This window comes from Homo sapiens, chromosome 5 (assembly GCF_000001405.40).
Source record: "Homo sapiens chromosome 5, GRCh38.p14 Primary Assembly".
NCBI classification, from domain to species: Eukaryota; Metazoa; Chordata; class Mammalia; order Primates; family Hominidae; genus Homo; species Homo sapiens.
In genome coordinates, this window is record NC_000005.10 from 103,170,378 (window position 1) to 103,193,666 (window position 23,289).

The following is a 23,289-nucleotide window of genomic DNA, read 5'->3' on the forward strand; positions in this document are numbered from 1 at the left end:
TAGATTTTCATGACGGTCTGAGAATTTATTTGAAGACAACTCTAAAATTATTTTTCTCGGATAAGTTATTTTTTAAATCGTTTGACTCTTCAGATAAAATTATGCCCAAGTTTACATAAATCAGTTCTATTTTTGGTAAATTCATAGTTTTAAAACAAAAGGTCTTTTTATATGCTTCCCTGGTGTCCTGAGATTATTTTATAAATTGAGGAGAGGACAACTTTGGGTTTATCTCCCTAACTTTTTCATATGACAATCTTTATTGTAAGAGAAACTTTGGATTTTTTTTTTTCAGAGTGTTGAATCAGTTCAATAAATATTATCTTGCTTTGTTACTTTAGGCCTCATAAATACAAAAACTGTGGACAGAAGGCAGGTATTTTCAATCACCAAAAATATAACTAACAATTATAAACATATTTGCAGTAATTTATAATGAAAATGTGGTTTGTAATGGAAAAAAATAAAATTTTGCATACATAGTTCTCAAGCAAATAATATTTCCAGCTTCAAGACTTGACTCAGCCAAATAATACAAAGTTTTAACTTGTTTAGAATAATTTAATGTAGATTAACAGGGTACCACTGTGAAAGAGAAGTGTATATACATATGTTCTGGTGTACTTCAAAATGATACTATGCCTTAAAAAATCAGTTTCTACTCTTACATTGATTGATTAATTTTTATGTCTGTGCTATGTGAATTATGTAATTCCAATCATTTCTAGGCTTAAATGATGCATATGGTCTATTTTAGTTATTTTAACAGTTAAACTAGTTCTGATAGGTGTTTATGCTACAATAGAATCAAATTTTCACTTTTTAACCAGGCTTAATCCTCAGAAAATTGGGGCCCTGGTTTAAAAATGATGCTTTATAGCCATGATGGTATAGTGGTAAATAAAAACATTTAAAGACTAAATTTGATATTAAAATTATATTAATTGAGATGACACATATTAATTGAAGTTTAAAGATGTTTTCTTTGGTTATCTGTAGATTATGAAATGCAGACAGTTCTTTATAGTAGCATTTCCCAAAGACAGTTCAATGACATTCTCATTGAAATCACCATAGAAAGCTTTCAAGTCGCCTTAGCTGGTATTTTAATCAGTTCTATTTGTGGCACAAATATTGAAACTACATATGAGGACTTGCATATCTAAAAAATTGTTTGGTCCTAGTTGATAGAGGCAGATGAGCAAAATGTGTCACTGTTTTGAAGAGAGAAATTTCTTGATTATAAAAGTAATATATCTTTGTGATAAAACTAGAAAATACAGATAGAGCAAAAAAATTACTATAACATTACCAACAAAAGAAAAACATATCAATGTTTTGGAATATTCTTAAAGGCCTCTTTCCTTAAATTTATTTACATATAATTGCTTCCATAAATGCGTATATATAGCAAATACATTCTTTATGAAAACTGAATCAGAAAAAGCATACTATTTTACAACCTAATTTTTTCCTTCATTTAGCATAAAGAACTTCTTTCCATGCCAATAAGGCTATATATACATTATTATTCCCAATGTCTGAGTGGTGTGAATGTAAGAATAATTTATTTAACCAACTTGTCTTTGGAAATCTAGACTTTTAAAATTTGTTTCACTCTCTTTACACATGTCTTTCCATTCATTCAAGATCATTTCTGTAGCTCCAGAAATCTTTAATCAGTTTTTACCCAGACCAGCAGTGTATGAAAATCCCTGTTTCCTCACATCTTGCTAATAACAAATTTAAAAAAAAATTATTTCCCTGATGATTTTTTAATTCCAACATTTTTCTTTTGTTTACACATAAATACACAGTTGCATATTCACTATATAGTCACCTACATTGGCAAGATTATTGAACCACCTTAGCTTTAGTTTAAGGTAAATGACCACAGGAAGTCCTGTTTTCCTAGGTCTTTCATCTGTAATCAGTCAGCATTTTCTTTATTAGGCAGTTTTGAGATCTATTGTCTGTACTGATGTTATTCCATGTGAATCTTTCTGGAGGTATCTAGTAGCAGGAAATAGCCTTTAAGTTGAAATATCCTAGAATGAACTTGGAGAGAGAAGGTATATGTGTTTCTTTCCTCTTCCCTTTTCTCCCTCTTTCCCACTCTACCCCCACTTTTCTGCCTTCTTCCTTTCTCCTCTTCTACTGCTTTGAACTATAATTTTCATTGCAATTACTCTTAAAATTGCCATGTTTTCTGGACACTTCACATTGTGCTAATTCCTTACAAATCCAATTAACTCATAATGATTATGTCATTAAATTTGATAATTTCATGGAATCTTTGCTCACTTCCAGTTAAAACTTTAAAAATATTGGCCAAAGCCTTTTGAAGAATGTGTTAGTCTTTTAAATCTTTGACATTTGGAAAAACAGAAATCTCAAGGTTTAATTTTTTTCATATATTTATTACATATTGTGCTTTAGTGTTTGTGGCCTTAATCCACCTTTCTTTTAGGGTTGTTTTTACATTTAAAACCACTGATTTAGTGAATACTAGTCATAAAAATTACATTCACCCATTCATTCTCCGCCTTCAGAAATTACTGGCTTTTGTTCAGTTCCACCACAAAATCCTTCCAATTATACTTAATAGTTTGAAAATCATACATTTGCAGTTGCAAAAAATGCAAACTCGGAGTTATCCAACGTTCAAAAAAGGCTTGATAAAATATTTGTCTCTCACTAGACTAATTTAGGAGTGTATTTTTTTAGAGTACTTTGTCATTATATCCTTTTTCTAATGTCATGTATTTTTTGCTCAGGAATATGGTATAACTAAAGCTGAAAAACTGGAGATTGCCAAAGGCTACTGTACTCCTCTGGTTAGAAAAATTCGCTCAGACCTTCAGAGGACACAAGATGATGACACTGTAAATAAACTTCATCCTGTGTAAGAAACTGTACTGGTTATTTAAATCTCTAGGCATCTATTTTTGCATACTTCAAATTTAAATTATACTTTGATGGTCCTATGAAGTCAGAAGTGTGTCATTGGCATACTGTGAAAATAGTATTACCTAGGTATTTCTATTAAGTTCCAACCAAAGTTATTTTTGGCTCCACTTTAGAGAAAACTAAGGTGAGTGGGGAAAAGGGAATATAGGTCATCGTTCACATGGACCATCAATGTGTACCCCATTTAGCAGCATTAATGTCTGTGAGCATCTTTAGGTCTATAACCTCTGTCATTGCTACTAAAGGAGATAAAATAACCTATTTACAGTGTACTTGACTAATATTAAGTCTATTCTTTGACTACTCTCAGAGGTCCTAGTTAGTTATAGTTTGTGTCATGTTAGAAGAATATATACTAAGATAAATTCTCTATTGTGGTTGGAAGAATAATAGATTTTTGTGGTCTTTTACTTCTAGTGAAATTACATTTAATTTTAGAAAATAATTTCAATATTTAGTGAGTTTTTGATTATATGGTTATGTTTGAACACTGTCTGCTTCTAATTTTAGGTATTCTAGAGGTGTTCTGTCTCCTGAACGTCATGTTCGTACTAGATTATATTTTACCAGTGAAAGTCATGTACATTCTTTGCTGTCTATTCTTCGCTATGGTGCCTTATGCAATGTAAGTAGAATAAGTTATTTCAGTCTAACAAATATATTTAATTTTGTAATTAAATCACTAACTGCTATTTTTACTGTGAAATTTTAGTAATTCATCCTTAAGTTTTACTACTTAATGTCGTCTTTCAAGGGACTACTATATACCAAGCATTTTGCTAGATTTTAGGGATAAAGATGTTCTCTTCAGAGAAGATACATTTAAGCAAACAATAATATAAAGTATTTTAGGTGATTTTATAGACTGGTGGCAGTAAAGAGTAGCCTGATGAATTTGAGTCATTTAGGGGTCAGAATTGATGGAACTTGGTGTTTGGTTAGACATTGTACCACTGATCTACTATTATGTACTATCTACTATTATCTACTATTACGTAATGACATACCAAGACTTAGTGGCTTAAAACAACCACAGTCATTTCATTTTTATCTCATACAGTTTAGATTGTTGACTAGGATCAATTATGAAGTTTCTCTTAGAGTCTCATGAGGTTGTAGTCAGACAGTGGCTGGGTCTCAAATAATCTCAAGGGTTTTCTCTCATGTTTGGTGCTTCATGTTGGCTGTCAGCTGGGACCTCAGCTGCGGTTATCAAGCAGAACACCTACATCTGGCCTCTTCATGTGGCCTGCTTCCTCAAAATATTGCACCTGAGTTCCAGGAGTGAGCTTCCTATGAGAGCAAGGTGCAAGTGCATGGCATTTTTATGACCTAACTTCTAAAATCATGTAGCATCACTTCTGCTGCGCTCTCTTGGTTGAGGCAATCACAGAGGTTCATCCAGGTTCAGAAGGAGAGGAAACAACCCACAGCACCAGATGGGCTGAGTGTCCCTGTCCTATTGTAAGAAGAGTATGTAGCATTGAATGTGTATGTCAGCCATCTTTGGAAAAGACAAAATCTGCCACAGTGATACCTATTTGCCACAGTAATTTGTATTCTTCCCACATACAAAACTCAATTCACATCTCCCTCAGTGCCACCCCCTCCACTCAGTGCCATGCTGTAATAGAGTAATACTACTTGAAGTCCAGAATCTCATCTAAATCAGTCATCTCTAAACTAGCCAAAAGATAAGAATGTTCTTTTATTTTTCTGTGCGTATATTGGTATACGCATCTGTGCACGTCTGTGTAGAAAGTGATCTATAAAAGAAAACTCAATTTTGTTTTCTTAATGTACTTTTAAAAGAAGGGCAGTGACATATATAGTGATGATTTGGTATAGGTCTGTTTCCTAATCAATCTTATTACTGGTCCTTGAGAGTAATTATTATCAAAGTGATCCTAAGGGTGTTTCAAAGTTCTGTTCCAATTAAAATTCCAAATCCATATGTTCTTTCTTCTGGTTTTTTGTTTCTTCTTTGTCCCACTAAAGAATAGAAAAGTGACATCCTTACATAAGTATGTGGATTAGTGGGAAAAAAAATGACCCTTAATTAGCAAGGCAAAAAAGCTTGTATATCCAGTAGTATTGATGGAATTGTTTGTGAAGAGGAGCGATACATCTCTTACATGGTCCTTTTTGACATACATAGAGGGTATAAAGATCATGAGTAATATAGGAACTGATAGAAAGCCTGTAGTTGGAGAATAGTAGTAAGTATTGGATAAAATGACAGCAGATATGGTTGAAGAGCCAGTGCCTTGTATTCTAATTGGATTGGGAAGCCATTTAAAGGTTTTAAGCAGGGAAATGGGTGGCTTTGGTTATTGTGTGGACAGCAGATAGGTGAAAGTGGGTATGAGGAAACCAGTTAGGAAATTATTACAGTGGTCCAAAAAGATGTCATTTGGACTAGGGTGGTAGCTGTGGATCTAGAGTTTTTTGGGCATATATTGAATTCAGGCTGCATTTCTAAAACAAAAACTGAACAACTTCATTATTTTAAAAATCAGTGCTTCCAGGGGGAAAAATAATTACATGTATTTACTAAGATGAAAATTAAAGTCTGCCAAAATGTTTTGTTTTCATTATCCCAACTCTTATTATCCTTGTAAGAATCTGTAAGTAATATAATTAAAATCTTACTCAGTATATTCCCCTTTGTAATTTTTAATTATTCAGAATGGATGGGGTAAAATCTTTCTGTAGAATTATTTGTAAAGTTTGTTAAGGAACTAAGATTATAAATAAGATTTCAGGAATATGTGTAATGGGGCCTTAATTTAAAAAGATATTTTTGTGTCTTCTTACATATTAATTACGTTCTGGAAGTTACTACTAAATATTACTTAATTTTATCTATTTATTAGAGAAGACCTAGCAAAATCTATAACTGCAACACTGAGTTAGATATTAAATGGTGTTCTTAATACTGGAGTATCACAAAATCACAAGATCAATTATCTGTTCACCTAATGAAAATTTTCAGTATTTAAACTCATCATTTGTGCTAACTTACATTTAGTGAAACTCAGTAATGCTAATTTATGTTTTCCCTTATCAATTTTGAAAAAAATACATCTTTTCACATACTACCTCCTAAACTTGCACACATGCATGTGCGCACACACACACACGGAATGTATAATGTCTAAAACAGAAATAAAATACACGCTGAATTTTAAAAAGCATACAGTCAATGTGTGGTCTTATAATTTGCTTTTAAAACAAGGTGCATTCTGTACTAAAGTCCATAATATTGTATACTCTTAGTGTATACAAAAAGGAAATGTTGTCCTTTTATATATTTGTAATGTAATTACATAGTATACAACAAAGGAAATTTATCTGTGATGTACGTATAATTTAAGTAGATCCTGTTAACTGTTGACTATAGACTTTACTTTGAGTAGTTTTGCCTTTTCAGATAGAATTTTCTACTTTGAATGCTTGTAGTACATGTTCTCTAAGATCCTTTTCAGTTCTGATGCTCTATGATTACATGTTTAAAGACCAATGATTCTCAGAATGAAGATGGAGGAATGGTGAAGGAGATGGTAAGATCAATAGAATTTACATATGCCTCCTTCTTCTGATTTTTGAATATCACTTCAGTGTAATAGGGATACTTGTTGATAGGCCTATATTGCATACATGAACTATATGATGGTGGGAAAAAATGGCATTCCTGTTATAGGATAGTATTCTGTGGTTATGAAATATGATACTATACTAGGTACTTTGGAACCTGACAAAGTTAAAAACGGTCTCTTACCCTCAGAATTCATTAGTGTTTGTCATATTTCAAGAAATTATTTATTTTTCATTTTGTATAAGCAGTTAAAAAAGGTTACCACTAGAACTTCTAATATAGGTTGAATATCTCTTATCTGAAGTGCTTGAGACCAGAAGTTTTTTGGAATTTGGAATTGTTTTTGTATTTTGGAATACTTGCATTATACTTACTGGTTTAGCATCCCTAATCTGAAAACCCAAAATTCTCCAATGAGTATTTCCTTCGAGTGTCATGTTAGTGCTCAAAAAGTTTTGAATTTTGGAGGGTTTTGGATTTTGGATTTTCAAGTTAGGGATACTCAAACTTGTAGAGATTTTAAAAATATTTTATCAAAACAAGCTTAAATAACATACTAAGACTTTTAAATGTAGTGGAATTATTTTTTAAAATTTTGCATATGATAAGTATTCACTTTATGTGGTATCACTAGGATTAAACAAGCTACCATAGTGACAATAAAGTGACTTTCAAGTAACACAGTTTGAGAAAATGATTACCACATGTATCTTTTGTTCAGGAATCAAAGGATGAACAGTGGAAACGAGCTATGGATTATTTAAACGTTGTCAATGAGCTCAACTACATGACTCAGATTGTTATCATGCTTTATGAGGATCCTAATAAGGTAAACAGAGCTCTTGATTTGTGTTTTACCAGACATAAATAAAGAGCTTAAAGTTTCTCATTTTGAAAATGTTCTGTCATATTTCTTAGGATCTTTCCTCAGAAGAACGCTTTCATGTTGAATTACACTTTAGTCCGGGAGCCAAAGGTTGTGAAGAAGACAAAAATTTGCCATCTGGCTATGGATATAGACCAGCTTCCAGAGAGGTAATGAAGGTGGAACTCTCAGTGCTTAGTTACTACAGTTCTAGATTTTCATGAGGTTTCTATAAGAGATTTTTATAATGTACTATAAATAATTCTTATTTTAACTTCTAAGCAGGAAAATGGTTTAAATTTTTTAAAGTGTGATTTGTATAGACTGTACTTTTATGCATATTGCAATACCTAGGAATTTTATCTTTTGTTTAGATTGTTTGAATTTTAAGGCCGTGTTTAGAATGGATAACCTTAAACCTTTAATTCACCAAAATTGACTTTTTTGGATGTAGTACATGTGATGTGCAGTCCAGTTTTGTTGTCTTCGCTCTATGAATAACTAAACCCCAGTATCATAGATTCAAGAGTTCATACTTTTTCTGCCACCTATAGTACTACATCTGATACTGCAGACATATATTGTGTCTGTATTTTGATTGGTTGGTTTCTGAATTTTTAGTCTTACTTGATTGCTCTATTTGTCTCTCTCTCTACCAGTACCACAGTCTTAATTATTATAGCTTTATAATAAATATTGATATTGAGTATAGAACTCCTCCAGCTTTGTTGTTCTTAAAGATTATGTTAAATATTTCATGTTTCATGCATTTTCATATAAATTTTATAATCATTTTATAATATTCTAAAGACTCTTTGAGATTTTGATTGAGATTACCACTACTCTGCAGATCAATTTGGAGAAAAATGATACTTTTTCAGTATTGGGTCTTCTAGTCTAAGGACTTGGTATATTTCTGAGTTTATTTAACTATACTTTATATTTTTTGATAAAATCATTATTTTTTCATTAAAAATAATAGCAAAAACCACAATTACTTTTGCACCAAATAATTGTTTTACACCATCTTTGTCATATTAATTCCTAGTTCCTTTATAGTTTTTTATGCTGTCATAAATGATTTATTTATGATAAATTAAATTTCATTTATGATTTATTTAAATTTCATTTTTTGTTTTTGTCATATTAAATTTTAACTCAGTTTTGTATAAAAATTTTATAGCTAGCAAACTTATAACTTGATATATGCTGTTATTCATTCTAATAATTTACCCTTAGAGTCATCTGGATTTTTTATGTATATGATCATAACATCATCTATGAATGATGAATAGATTTAGTGATAGTGGACATTCTTATCTTTCAGTGTCTTATTATTAACTGTGATGAGCCCTTCAAGTTTTGGATATCCCTTATTTGATTAAAGAAGTACCTTTTTATTCTCTGTAACCCTTAATTTGATGAGGGTTTTTATGTACTCAGTTTATTTTCTTTTGGCCAATATTATGTTTATGAGGCTCATCAATGTAGTTGCATTTAGTTTTAGTTTGTGCGTTCTTATTGCTTTAAAATATGTGTTTTACTGTATTACTATGGTCCAACGTATGCATTATCTTATAGTTGGATATTTGATATAAAAATTTTTAGCTTGCCTGTCTCCCATACTGTGTTGGAGGATTCTTGCAATCTGGGACTGTGTCTTATTCATCTGTGTCCTAGAACAATTCATGGCACATGTTATACACTTAGTAAATGCTTAATGAGTCACTGAATGATTATTACTTTTAATGCAGTTATCACATTTATTAGAAATGTTTGGAATAGATTTAAATATTCTAAAATATATAAATACAAGTGCTGTTTAGTTCATGCTCAGGTTGATGAGACTCCTATATAACAAAGCTCATCTCTATTATTTCTTACTGTCATTTATTATTATTGTTTATTTATTCTTGCACTTGATGAAATGTAATTAAACGCTTTGTCTTATGTGGTTTTTTAATTGTCATTTTACTGTTTAATTTCTCCATAGAGTATATGTATTTTTGAACTCAGAGACTCTGCCTTTTCCCTCATAGTACACAGCATAATACTAAGCTGTTAGAAGAGTTCAATTAATGTTAATTCATCTGAGTAAACAAACTTGTATATGTATTTCAAGTACCTCTACCAGTGGTAGTTGAATCTGTTCATCAGAAGAGATTTCTTAAATCTGAATAGTAAAAGTGTTTTATATTCTTTGCTCACAGAATGAAGGCAGGAGACCTTTTAAAATTGATAATGATGATGAACCACATACTTCTAAAAGAGATGAAGTTGATCGAGCTGTGATATTGTTTAAACCAATGGTATCAGAGCCAATTCATATACACAGGAAGTCTCCACTTCCAAGATCTAGGAAGACGGCTACAAATGATGTAAGTATATGTATCAGAACACATTTTTCATACAGTAAACTAACTATATTTTAATAAAACAGAAAAGAAAATACAGCTTTAATTGTGGAGCTTGGGAAACCAACAAATTTTTAAATGTTATTTAATCTATTTTTAAATAAATTACAAAAAATATAGAGGCAGTTCAAAAATAGATTAGCTTTAGAATGTTGAGCTTTACATATAGTTTTCATAAAAAAAGGATGCAAATATAAAATAAGCTGTTTCTAGGAACTTGAAAAATGAATGCTTTTTTTTTGTCTTGTTACATTAGGAATATTTACATTAGGTTGATCTTCAATAATGAATTTTTTTTAAAAGCCTGATTTAATGGATCAAGAATAATTTTAGTTAGAGAGCAAGCCGGGCATGGTGGCTCATGCCTGTAATCCCAGCACTTTGGGAGGCCGAGGCGGGTGGATCATGAGGTCAGGAGATCGAGACCATCCTGGCTAACATAGTGAAACCCCCGTCTCTACTAAACATAAAAAAAATTAGCCAGGTATGGTGGCGGGCACCTGTAGTCCCAGCTACTCAGGAGGCTGAGGCAGGAGAATGACGTGAATCCAGGAGGCAGAGCTTGCAGTGAGCTAAGATCACGCCACTGCACTCCAGCCTGGGCAACAGAGCAAGACTCTCCCCAAAAAAAAAAAAAAAAAGTAGAGAACATTTGCTGGAGATGCTTTAGCAATAACTGATTCAAGTGATACTATAGGTAAAGAAATGAAATTCTAAATTGTTAGCCTAATTGCAAAGTCTATATAGGAATTTGAATGTTTGATAATATAATAAAAAATTTTACCTTTATATTAAGATCTATAAATAGGTTAGAATAATTCTTATGCTCTCTAATAGAAAAACATTTAAATAATTAATAAAGTAACATTTAAAAGGAAAGTTTAGCAGTTAGAATGAAGCTTGTTAAATAAAGCTTTAGCACCTGTATACATTTTTAATACTTTAAATAAGTTTTATTTGGGGTTATCTCTGTTTTCTGTAGGATGAGTCTCCCAGCACTGATTGAGGTCAGTGCTTCTAACTGTTTTCTAAATGCTCTAGTAAAAGTATAAAGGAAGAGGGGCCTGGCGTGGTGGCTCATGCCTGTAAACCTGGCACTTTGGGAGGCCGAGGTGGGTGGATCACCTGAGGTCAGGAGTTCGAGAGCAGCCTGGCCAATATGGTGAAACCCCGTCTCTACTAAAAATATAAAAATTAGCTGGGCTTGGTAGTGCCAGCCTGTAATCCCAGCTACTTGGGAGGCTGAGGCAGGAGAACCACTTGAACCTGGGAGGCGGAGGTTGCAGTGAGCCGAGACCACCCCCCTGACTGCACTGCAGCCTGGGCAACAGAGCGAGATTCTGTCTCAAAAAATAAATAAATAAATAAATACACACACATATATACATATATATGTGTATATGTGTGTAAAGGAAGAAATTAAGATAGAACCATCAACTTTTAGAATAAAGCATTATTTAAATATGCCAGTTCTGAAGAATTAGGTATAGCATTTTTTAGCATTTAATGGGTGAGAATAAAAACAATGAAAAGAATTGTGCTCATTTCTACAGCCCCGAATTATACAAATATATGTGTTTTATGATTCTCAAATTTCAAATATATATGTGCTCCAGTTTGACAATTTTGTATAGGCAAAAATCTGTCCATAAAGTAGATCCTTATAACTTTATAATGGAAATCATATAGTCGTTAAGGTTCCCTTGAATGTGATATTTTAATTACAAAAGAAAAGGGTTATTAAAGAGGGTATTTAACAATTATAGAACTTGGAATTATTTGTTCTGTTATAACTTAATGGAAAAAATGAAAAATCTGGGATTATGTTCAGGTATCCTTAATTTCAGAAAATTTGGGAAATAAGCTATATTAATTAATATAACCTACACTACTATTTGTGTGAGGGCAGTGATTTTGATGTGTTATTGAATAAGCAATCTATAGTTCATCAAATTATTCAGAATTTCACCATTAAACCCTCTCCTCTGCCCTCCAAAAAGCCTATATAACACTGAATACAGCAAAATGTATTGTAAGTCTTCATTTTGCAACTCATCTATATTTATAAAACCTCTAACAAAATCACTGCCCTTGTTAATCTTTAAAACGCAAAACACATTTATAAACCTTTTTCTCATAAATACTTAGTTGATTTCAAGAGATTATTTCTATGCCATGCTAAACTTTTACTTCCATAAGGTAAATTATTCAAGTAAAATCTTGAAGACTTTTTCCAGCGTCCATCATCTCCATGGATATAAGAAGTTTGTACTTCCAAAAGACACACAGAGAAAAAGACTGTTCTCTTCATTTTGTGCAAGTAGATTTTACTCTGTCCTCACTCTCTGAAACCTGAACATGCAAACATGTAAAATGAGAATGTTTGCTGCATGTTTTGCCTACTGAATCTGTAAATATCTCTGGAGGGGGCAAATAGATAGCTTGAAAGTATAAACAGGTGCAATTTGAGTCCATCTTATGATTTCTGAATTTTTTAAATATATCAGGGAGACAGATTTAGTTTTCTAAGTTATGTATATTGAAATCCCTTTGACCCTTTGCACAATTCTTTAGTGTCTCGGGTTGAAAAATTCACCCAAAATAGCACAAAATCTTTTGAATATCTTAAATTAAGCAGAAAACCTGTATATTTTAAAAGTTGCTAAAAAAAGAAACTTACTAAAATATTTCCAGTTTTAACAGGGAAGGGACAATTATGAAGCAGTATAAGTATTTTATGTCTTTTAAGGTAATAAAATATTTCCATAGTTGTTATCACATACAATTAGATTTATTAGTCATTCCTATCAAATTCTCAAATAGTGAAATATTTGGCTCCCAAATTGCTGTGTAATGGTTTTTTAAAAAAATTAATAAGCAAATATGAACAAACTGTATTTTTTTTTCTTTCTGATCATTTGGCTCTGTTGTATCTAACTTTGCATGCTCTGCTTTTTTTTTTTTTTTTTTTTTTTTTTTTTTTTTTTTTGCCCCCTTTCTCACTTCCAGGAAGAGAGCCCCCTGAGTGTGTCTAGCCCAGAGGGTACTGGTACCTGGCTGCATTATACCAGTGGTGTGGGTACTGGGCGTCGAAGACGCAGATCAGGGGAACAAATCACTTCTTCCCCTGTCTCCCCCAAATCATTGGCTTTCACATCCAGTATTTTTGGCTCATGGCAACAGGTTTTTAAACTTTACTTCATTAAACATTTTTCCTCCCTGCATTCAGAGCAACAAACAGCTGTCTTTGAGGACATCTAATCCCTTGTATTTCACATCAGAGTAAATCCTTCTGTTTTTTAATTTTGAGTTCATTTAAAAATACTTAATGATATCTGCCAATATTCAAGGGAAAGAAATCACTTACATGGCATGTGTTTAGTATTTTTACTGAGAAGTTTCCAAATATCCAGGATTTTAAAACAATCAATAGATGTTATTCTCCTGGAATTTCACCTTGTTAATAAAATTATTTAAAAATGAAAGAAATCTTTTTTGACTTGTCTTTTAAAACTTTCAGAAACAAATTATGTAATTTGATTGTAAGAAAATGTATTAATATTTTCTTCCATAATTGAAAAAATTAGATTCAATTTGGAATTTGCTGAGAAGGTAAACATTTTTTAAAATATCAGAATTTATGTGGCCCAGTTTTAATTAGCAGGATATATCGAATATTGATAATTTTCTTCCTCATTATTCCATTATTTGGAAGTATCTAATTTAAGGAATACATAGTCTGTTTTTCTTTGGACTGTTTAATATTTTAATGTTCTCTTTAAGAGGGAACAATTGCATATGTGCCCATCAACAATATGGGTCAAAATAAAATGACTTCAGAAGGACTTCCTGTGATGACATTTGGAAACTTAAAATATATATGATTTCTATTACATTGGAAGGTCTACTGTCACACATGAGGTTTCTGATAATTTCAGCAATTTCCTTTTGGAAATATAATGCATTTGACTATAGGAAAAGGGATTATGGTATCCATTAAGGCTGTGAATATTTAAAGGTTACTCTGATAAAGCCCATGCATGGATCAATAATTGTATGGTGATCTCAAGAGTCTCTGTCTGTCCTTTCTTTTGTTTGTAGTTGTTTTTTCCCCCTTCAAATACAGGAGCTGTTTAAGAGTGGGCATTTGGCTTCTTTTAAGAGTGAAATTATATCAATCTCTTAATTGCTTCTTTTCATCTGTCTTGTTTCATACATGATGTTTCATTCTGAATGCCTGCTTCGCACCACTTCATTGCAAGGACCTCATGAAATGGACTCCCTTCAAAAGGGGATCTTGCATGATCTTTCATGTTTTATGTATTTCTACTAATATTTATCATACAGCTTATTAACCTTTGTCTGTCTGGAACAGGCTGCATATGAAGTATAGACTTATGAATTTATTTTACTCTTTTACTTCATTTATTTTGGATTCCTTATGCAGGTTGTATCTGAAAATGCTAATTACCTGAGAACACCAAGAACTCTTGTGGAACAGAAGCAGAATCCTACTGTAGGTATGTGGTGTAAAGGAAATTGTGTTCCATACCCTTCTTAAACTCACTATTGTGCACACATGTAAAACTCTTTGGTGAAAGCATGACCAAATGCTATGCTGTAGTTTTTATTTAATGTGTACTAATTCAGAAATGTTGAGTTGTATAACTCAAAATAAAGTTTTGATAAAATGAAGAAGAGATAGCATTTAATTTTGTTACATAACCCTTTTGGATGCCTGCAATGATAACCACTTAGTTCACTTGCCAATGCTAGTTTTTAATCTTGTACTCTGTAAGTTAATTTATGAAGGAAACTTCATTTTCCCAGTTGATAAAGATGAAAAGATGCTATTGCATGCAGAAAGGGACTTTCCATTTTTCTGGTTAAAAATATTTTTAAAGTACAGAATACTTCAAACCCTATATGAATATATTAATTTTCCTTTGAGCAGCTCGTAAGGAAAACCAAGCAAAACTAATGCACAGTGGCAGTCTCAGTCTTTATTAACCTATAGAACATAATTGGTTCTTTGCTAACACTCAAAGCAACATTGAAAAAGACCTTTCTAAACTCATTTGGTTTGAAGCTCATGGTTGATAAACTATGAAATAGTGGCGTATTATTTTCTGTAAATAGTTGTCCTAATAGGTTTAATAAAGGCATAAACAGATCTCGTTGTAAGTTTATGTATGTACTGTGATCTCTGTACTAAGTATATGAACTGTTGATACCTACATACTTGAGGATCTCTCTTTAATTTCATATAGCTTGTAATGATAGTTTTTAATATTCCTACAGTATATTTATAGAAATTTATATATTACTCCTTCTTATTGATGTATCATAGTATATTTTATAGAAATTTATTTAATCCTTCCCCAGTGATGAAAGTGTTATTTGGATGTAAAAACTTTTGCTACAAATTGAGCATCAGTTTATACTGGCTGTTTTATTTGCTTATAATGTTTTTCATTGGGAGTCTTATTAATTAAGATCTTAAGTCACTTGTTAAGTATTTAAAGTGATTTAGGCCTTGAATGACTGAAAAGGACCTGGTCTCACAAATAAATAAATTTTGATATACTTTATTTCATAAGAAAGAGTAGTAATTCTCAATTCAGGGGCATCAGGAAAGATTTGTCATTTATAGACATACATTAAAAATACTGATTTTATATGACTTAATTTGTGCTAGAAGGAGTGTTTTTTTTTTTTTCTTTAAATATGGCTTGCCCTTGGAAATTGATTAACAGAGTCCTTTCTTGTCCTAAGTTATTTTTATGGCAGTGTTTTTAATACTTTAGGATGTATATGTCTAATTATTATATGGACATATTTTTTTTCTCAAAGATAACATTTTGTCCAATGTTAAATTACCCCATTTGTACCTATGATAAATGATAGTGGTGTTTAGAAGTATTGTATTAAAACTGACCTCATTAGGAAATTACAAGAATATTGTGAGCCTGTTCAAGGCACTTCCAAAGGTTGCCTTATATGTGGTAAGAGCCATGTTAATTGCATGCTGCATGAATTCCCAATGTGAATGGAAGAACACCCGTTGTGTATGTATTTTCTCTAACTCCCATCAGGGTCTCACTGTGCGGGCCTGTTTAGCACCTCGGTGCTCGGGGGTTCTTCAAGCGCACCTAACCTACAGGATTATGCTCGTACTCATCGTAAAAAGCTGACCTCTTCTGGCTGCATAGATGGTATGTGCACACATGCACACACAGATTCATACCTACACCCATGCACACACCCATGAGCAGTATTTCTCAAAGGCAAATCTAAGGCCACTGACTGATTCGAGTGAAATCCTGTCATCTTTTGCCTAAATGACTATCAGTGCTCTCTGTTATCTACAACTTGGATCCATGTTTCATCAGACAGTTAATTGTAGTTAGATTTACAGTACTTGTACAATAAGTTTGTTGAAATGGAAAACTTAGAAGAGTATTATGTGTATTCTTCTTTTAGATAATTGATTATATTATAAAGAGCAAGCGTTTCTTTGATCTTTTAAACTTTTATTTATTGTTAACACTTATTTTACTTATTGAGCTAATTAAAGTGAGTGGAATGTTTATAAGTAGAGGACAATATCATATTGGCAATATTTTTATAAAAATAAACACAGGATGAGAATATTTTAGGATCACTAGCTGAAGGAGATCCTCTTAATGTTGTTAATATACCTTAAGTTTTAATATTAAGAATTTTTTAAGGCTCATGGAAGCGTGTCCCTTTTGTTAAGAGAAGTGGCTCTAGCTCTTTCAGGATCGTCTTTATTTAAAACATTTTCTTATTTATCAACAAATTTATTTTAGACAGTAAAACATGGATTTACCAGAATTGCCAGCTCATCTTGCTTTTCTTTCTTTTGTATATTTCATTTGACACTTTTCCTCTGTCATCAAGCTAGTTAACTTCTTTTAACCAATATTTACCTTATTACATTCTCTCATTGTCCCTTCTGCATGTCACCTTTCTAACCTCCTCATATATTTGTTTTTCCCCTCTTTCTTTTAAGTGTTCTTTTTGTAGCTGTTACGAATTTCAGGTACCTGTTTTTCTCTTTCTTAGACGCCACACGCGGTTCTGCTGTTAAAAGGTTTTCTATCTCATTTGCTCGACACCCAACCAATGGTACGTTTTGCTTTTATTTTAAAAGATACTCCCCTGCTTCATCCCTTTTTTATTTTTATTTTATTTCAAAATGTGGGGTATACAGTATCATTCATTTCTTCATCCTTAATGTCAATTGGCGTACAATTCCAACTTGTTATTCACCCAAATTATTGATACTGTCTAGCTCCCTTTTCAGCTGTAATTCACATAATAATTTAACATTACTCATCAAACTTTTAATGACCACAATGATGATGAGTTTTAATGCTAAATTAACACCTGAAAATTTCATCTAATTTCTCAGATGATCAGTCTACACAAATTTTTAAATTATAATTAGTATTCTTTAATTTTTCTTAATTCTCAATAACTTTTTTCTTCCTAATTTTCTGATCACATGGTTGTTTTATTGAGATATTTAAACAAAAATACAGAGCCACCCATGTCAAATAGCCAAATAAGATGTGTCTTTGAAAAATTCCTGGGCACCTGGTGATGCATATTTCACTGTATAACATCGTCTGTTCCTGGCTATTTTTCTAAAGCAAAACCCTGTTCGGTCTGGAGCACTCTGAAAACTTTGTCCAGCATTCACTTTGTTCTTGTGTAGCAATGTGGTTTGCTATTATCAAGCAACTAATTCCTTTTAGTACCACTGCTTTTTCTTAAAATTTAGAGGACTCCTGATAGGAAGAAGATTAAGTTAAGATCTAGAAACCCAGCTCTGTTAAATTCCATTTTTGAGGCTGAATAGGAAAGTGTTTCATGACCATTATTGTAAAAGGAATTATTGCCATTACAACTTCTAACATAGAGCTTGATATTGTGGGGCAAGAGGGAATATTTACTGATCATTTTACAATAATTCAGGATCAAAGAATTTAAAAGAGCACTTACAGATTTTTGCTTGTATTATACATGGAATGAAGATACTTTTATCCCTGGAACTCTTTTTCTTTTTAACTGCAAGTAAGTCTTTCAAAAACTCAAGTCAGATCTTTCAGAAATTTTTATGAAGCTAAAGGATTCAACACAAGTTTATGGTCATTCTCCCCCTTCTGGATCCTTTAACAACACATCTAAATAACAGTGCACTAATAATTCTTGAAGGTGGAATAAGAAGATCTCATCCTCAACAAGTAAAAATTTAGCCTTAAAGCTTAATGTGCTTTCCCTTCATTGTAGCTATTTAAATGCTACTTTTTGAAGAAAGTGATTCTTATTTGATACAGCTGCAGCTTCTAAAGAAACCGCATGCCTAAGAACCTCTTAGAAGAAACACAGAAGTCACAAGAAAAACAGAAGCCACAAAAATTCTAAGAAGAGACATTGCAGGTTTAAGACCATAGTTTTTGTACTGAATGCTGTGTGTTTAAAACCAGTATTTGAGGTATTATTATCTAGGAGAATCTGTGTTTAACTGAAGGTTTTTAAAAATGAAAAATATTTATGTTAAATTTAATAGAAAATAGAGTAATTTTATATTCCTTTGGTTTAGGCTCTTTTTTAAAAATGTGGGTTTTCCGCACATACAAATGCACATAAGGTGCATTCTTTTCTATTCTACAAATATTTCTTTTGAGTTTTAAGGTTTCCTTTTTTCCTTTTTTAATATTGTGTTGTCTTATCTGTCCTATGAATTGTCATTTGACTCTTCCTTTTACTTTTTATTTCCCCTAACTTTCATGTTATTTCCATCTTTAACACATATCATGGACTTACCCCTCCCTTCATCTTTAGTTCAAGGAACATGGTGAAACAAGTATCTTCTGACAGTGCTTTACCTTATTTTCTGGGCCTCTGTGCAGAACACCTACACCTCTATAGGTGCTGGTCCGTTTCCTCTGTGGAATTTCTAGGCTCCAGTGGTATGTTTTTATAGCTTCTAAACATGTCAGCAGGGTGGCTTTTTAAATTGCTGCGCTAACCCTTTCATTGTGCATTAAAGGAAAAGTTTATTAAAGATAAGTGGAAAAAAATGTAGTCTAGAGGAACTTAATTATATTGTCATTTGCCTGTTATAAAATCTAGCAGGCAAATGAAATAAAATAATTGCTATAAAAGATTTATAAACTTTGTGAGGAAAGAAGAAAAGATCTCATCGTTAAGTTTAGTGTAATGCAAAGAAAGGGTTTGCGCTCATTTGCATGAATCTTGTACTTCTAAAAAATGTAACAGTTGTGCAAGCCTAATTTCTTTAGTGCTTAATTTAGGTGCTTTAGTTGCTGTTATAGTATAGTTTTGTTTTTGTTTTTGTTTTTAAAGTATGTGTAATGTTCTGTCATGCTTTGGTTTGCACCTGAAAATCAGACATATCACTTTTGCAAGTCCTTTGGTTATTTTCCTAGGAAGATTAGATTCTCTTTTAACCAAAGTTTCCTTATTCTAACTGAGAATTAGGCAGTTCTTGGGTCAATATTTCCTTCAATATTTAAATGAATCAAACATCAGTCAATTTAAAAATGAGCACACGCCTATTGAAGCAGAATGTTGCAGTCTGAGGTTAATTTTGTACTTTTAATGATATTTGACTTTATATAAAACTTTGAGTATTATAAGTATTTAACTGCGGGAAATTAATTTGAATTTTTGGAAGAGTAGATGCAGAAAGACTCGTTATTTTTAACAGTATATGAAAGCAATTTTAAAAGCCATTCAGTTGAATGAAGTTTAAATAAACAGGCAATTTTCTTTTTTAAAAAAGTGAATAACCTATATCCTATTTGTTTAAAAACATAAACTGTGTATTTAAGTGCTTTTGTTTCACTGATGGTATTAATACATATTTGCATGATTGTTTCATAAAATTTTCGTATTTCTGTGCCATTGTTAAATAGGAACATATTTGTATTTGTATTGCTTTTTACTTGGCCTAACTTTACACAGCCAGTGATTCCTAGTAATATAATTATGTGTTAATTCAGTAAAGGTAGGTGAAATACGTTTTGGAATTTTTATTCCAGCATGAATGAATGAATGTTGTTTGGGGTTCATACTAGAGAGTATCATTGGTCTTGGCACACCTGGAAAAGTATCTAAAATAATTATTCACAAGTAATTATATAATTTTTCAACAAGAACTTACTGTTAGCGTCCTGGCATCAGGGATACATCATGTGGCATCAGTTTATTCACCTATTGAATAGACCTGACTTCAAAAAATAAAAACTGAAAACTTGTATTTCTTTGTTTTTTTTTCCCTAGGTTTTTTAAAGTATTATTCTTAGATTTTACCAATATAGAATGAAATTGTGTGCATGCGATACTACGTGATTACATTTAAAAAGAAATCTTTGTCACATCTTGTTCCAGCTCCATATTGCATAGCATCTGGTGTCATGACTTCAGAGATATTGTGTGTTTGCATGTGATAGACTGAAAAGACCTAAACTGTCCAGTTCTAAGCAGTAGTCTTCCTTTCTAATTACTGATTTTTAAAATATCCATCTTTTATTTTTTGTTTTTGGTTTTTTTCTCTTCTAGGCTTTGAATTGTATTCCATGGTGCCATCTATTTGTCCTCTAGAAACTCTTCATAATGCCCTATCTTTAAAGCAAGTGGATGAATTTCTTGCTTCCATTGCTTCTCCATCATCTGACGTTCCACGGAAGACCGCTGAAATTTGTAGGAAATTTTTCTTTCATTGTTATTATTTAGTTGCTGGGCAACTACATACTATCTGAGTATAACAGGAATTATAACAACATAAAAGCAGGTAGTGGTAATGAGTAGGAGTACAAAGGGGAGTGTAAAGGGACATTATTAGGAATTCTTTGGTGTAATGTGAACTGTACCTCTTTTTTTTACTCTGCCAAAATCTTTTCTTCTTACCAAAAAAAAACAAAAAACAAAAAACCAATAGCAGTAGAAGTCAACAAAATATAGGGTTGTGGTCTTTTGTTAAAACTATGTTTGCTAGAAATCTCATATTCCTATTGTATATCATTTTATAGCAAAGTTTTTTAAAACTGCAAAATATCAGTCCACATTAACCCATTCATACACACTCATCTCCTGACTACCTTTGGTAAGTAGTTAGAAAGAGCTTTTAACTAAAGACAGCAAATTAGGACAACAATTTTTCAAATTGTGTATCTCAGAAAACATTCTGAAGAGGTTAATTTGTGTGTTTGAAGAAAAGATGTTCATGGTTAAATAAGTTTTAGAAACTATGTTATATCCCACCTCCCTTTGGAGAGGTATAGCTACATTAGCATATAAAAGGCTGACGTTCTTCTGTAAAGAAAGCTGTATAACCCAGATTTTCCAAAACTTATTTTTTAGAAAACACTTTTATGGTAACACATTAAATATCATGTGGCTCTATTCTGAGGGACATCATTTGGGGAAATGCTCAGGGCTTCCTTTTTAGGTGTGAGAAGTCAGCTGCCAGTTGTCGTTTTCAGCTCTATAGGATTCCTCAGTACTTTGGAAATTCCAGTTTAGAAAGAGTTAGTTTTGGGAGAGAGTGCTTTGCTTAGAGCTAAGAATCTTACTATTCTAGTCATATCTTAGAAAGTGACAAACTTTCTTTGTGTATCATTCCTCTTTTTCTGAGTGCTGTAAATAAATTTTGCTCAATAATAAAATGAGATATTAGAGCTCTCGGAATGAATGCCACTTTTATGTCTGACTGTCATTCTCTTCTCTTTCCTGGGCCATCACATCGTATAATTCTAGAGAGCTCTATTCTCTTTATATTTTGTCTAAATGATACCCCCTGCATTTATACAAAGTAGTGACCTTTCCCTTTTCTTCCATTTTTGGTAGTAGAGGCCAGCTTTCAATCATTAACAGTAATAGAGATGTATACTGGTGAGTGTTCTAAAATACTTCACTTTAGGGATGGTTTTAGGAAGTAGGTCTTAACTTAAAAATTTGCATATAAATGTGTCCGATTATGAGAATTGATAATACTTCAAATGAAATAACTTCTCCAAGTGGTAAACGTCAGAGACAGGAAAATGAAGGTGGTAATCTCCTTTTATATTCTCTATAACCTGCTAGAATGGACAATGCTGTTACCTCAGAATGCAGTAGAGAACCTGAATAAATTCTAGTTTACCCCTTCACCCTTAATGATGTTTCATTGCTTCCCTGGGGCAAGGATTTGAAATCTTAAAATAGAGATTAAAGAATTATTCTAATTAGTAAATAAGAGTTTAGGGGTAGATCTCAACACTATTTAGATTGTAGAAGACTTGCAATGAATGATTTGAAGGTAATAGAAATAGTAGTGACATGTTTGTTATGAAAGGATAATTTTAGTAGAATATTTACAAAAAGATAATATTTTAAGGTTTGTTCTGTGGTACTCTTGATGGATTCATTTTGTAGTTAGTGAATTCAGTTCATCAGAGTGTATTACTGAAGGATATTAATGAGGCAAAGGATATTAGATTCTTTTTCCAGTTGTGCTAATTTCTAATTAGCTCTTCTGTATATCATGGATACAAATTGTACCTCAGTCCCTCTAGCTCTCTTAAAATTTCATGCAATTAGTTACTAACAGAACTAGATGAGAAAGTAAATGTACTTAATGTGGCTCATAGAATTGGATAAACCTTAGAGATAATCTAGTTCATTGGTCTTCAAACTGTATTCCCAAGAGTCTTTGGAAATTCCATGAGGAAGAGAAAGATGCTGAATAGTTAGGGCTTGTGTCTTTCATGGCTGCTTCAACCAGAGTATCTCCTTTGGTCTATTTTATTTAAGATTTCACTTAAGAACAGCTTTACTATTTAAAGAAAAAATCGTAGAAAGACACAGTTGAGGAAATCAATAAATTAGTGGTCAAGCAAGACTAAAATCCAGGTCTTCTAAAGCCTCTATTTTTCTCATTATTTTTGAATAGCAAAGAAAATAGGGTGCCAGTTATGATGAAAGTTTTTGAATCATGTATTTTATAGAGTAACTGTAGGAATACTATTTATTAAATTATAGGATATTTATATTATTTACAGTTAGTTCCCTGAGTTATCAAGCTGTAGTATCATATACATACAATTATATTCATTTTGTGGTGTTTATAACAAGGGAAAAGGAACTGTTAATCATTGTCTGTCCTTCCAAGTTTTTTTCCTCATCTAACACAAAATTAATAAATATTAATACTAAAAGATAGCTTACAATGGGGAAGTGACAATATCAGATTGGAGAAAAAGGAGTAGGTATATTAATTAGGATAAGTTAGTGATGGAAGTTCATAGAGTAGGGTAAAAATATGCAAGCAGAAAAGGGCTAAGTAAAGCTAGGTTGTTTTATGATGTTTTAAGGACTTTTTATCTCTTAGATTATTTCCATTAGTG

At 32.0% G+C, this 23,289-nt stretch overlaps 1 protein-coding gene across 30 annotated transcripts in view; it reads left to right on the top strand.

Annotated features, from left to right (window-relative positions):
• Positions 1–23,289, top strand: part of PPIP5K2 (diphosphoinositol pentakisphosphate kinase 2) — a 92,499-nt gene that overhangs the window by 50,077 nt on the left and 19,133 nt on the right. For 2 of the 30 annotated variants that reach the window (XM_005277534.3, XM_005277535.3), the window contains exons 20-30: positions 2,778–2,905; positions 3,481–3,595; positions 6,489–6,533; positions 7,290–7,397; positions 7,487–7,603; positions 9,644–9,811; positions 12,857–13,030; positions 14,295–14,367; positions 15,943–16,062; positions 16,937–16,999; positions 20,465–20,605. In XM_005277534.3, the coding sequence (XP_005277591.1) occupies positions 2,778–2,905; positions 3,481–3,595; positions 6,489–6,533; positions 7,290–7,397; positions 7,487–7,603; positions 9,644–9,811; positions 12,857–13,030; positions 14,295–14,367; positions 15,943–16,062; positions 16,937–16,999; positions 20,465–20,605 (1,252 nt within the window). Of the gene's footprint in view, positions 1–2,777; positions 2,906–3,480; positions 3,596–6,488; positions 6,534–7,289; positions 7,398–7,486; positions 7,604–9,643; positions 9,812–12,046; positions 12,805–12,856; positions 13,031–14,294; positions 14,368–15,942; positions 16,063–16,936; positions 17,000–18,789; positions 18,850–20,464; positions 20,606–23,289 lie in introns of those variants that run through there. The other 28 variants (NM_001345872.2, XM_047417008.1, NM_001276277.3 and 25 more) reach the window with 17 other exon arrangements.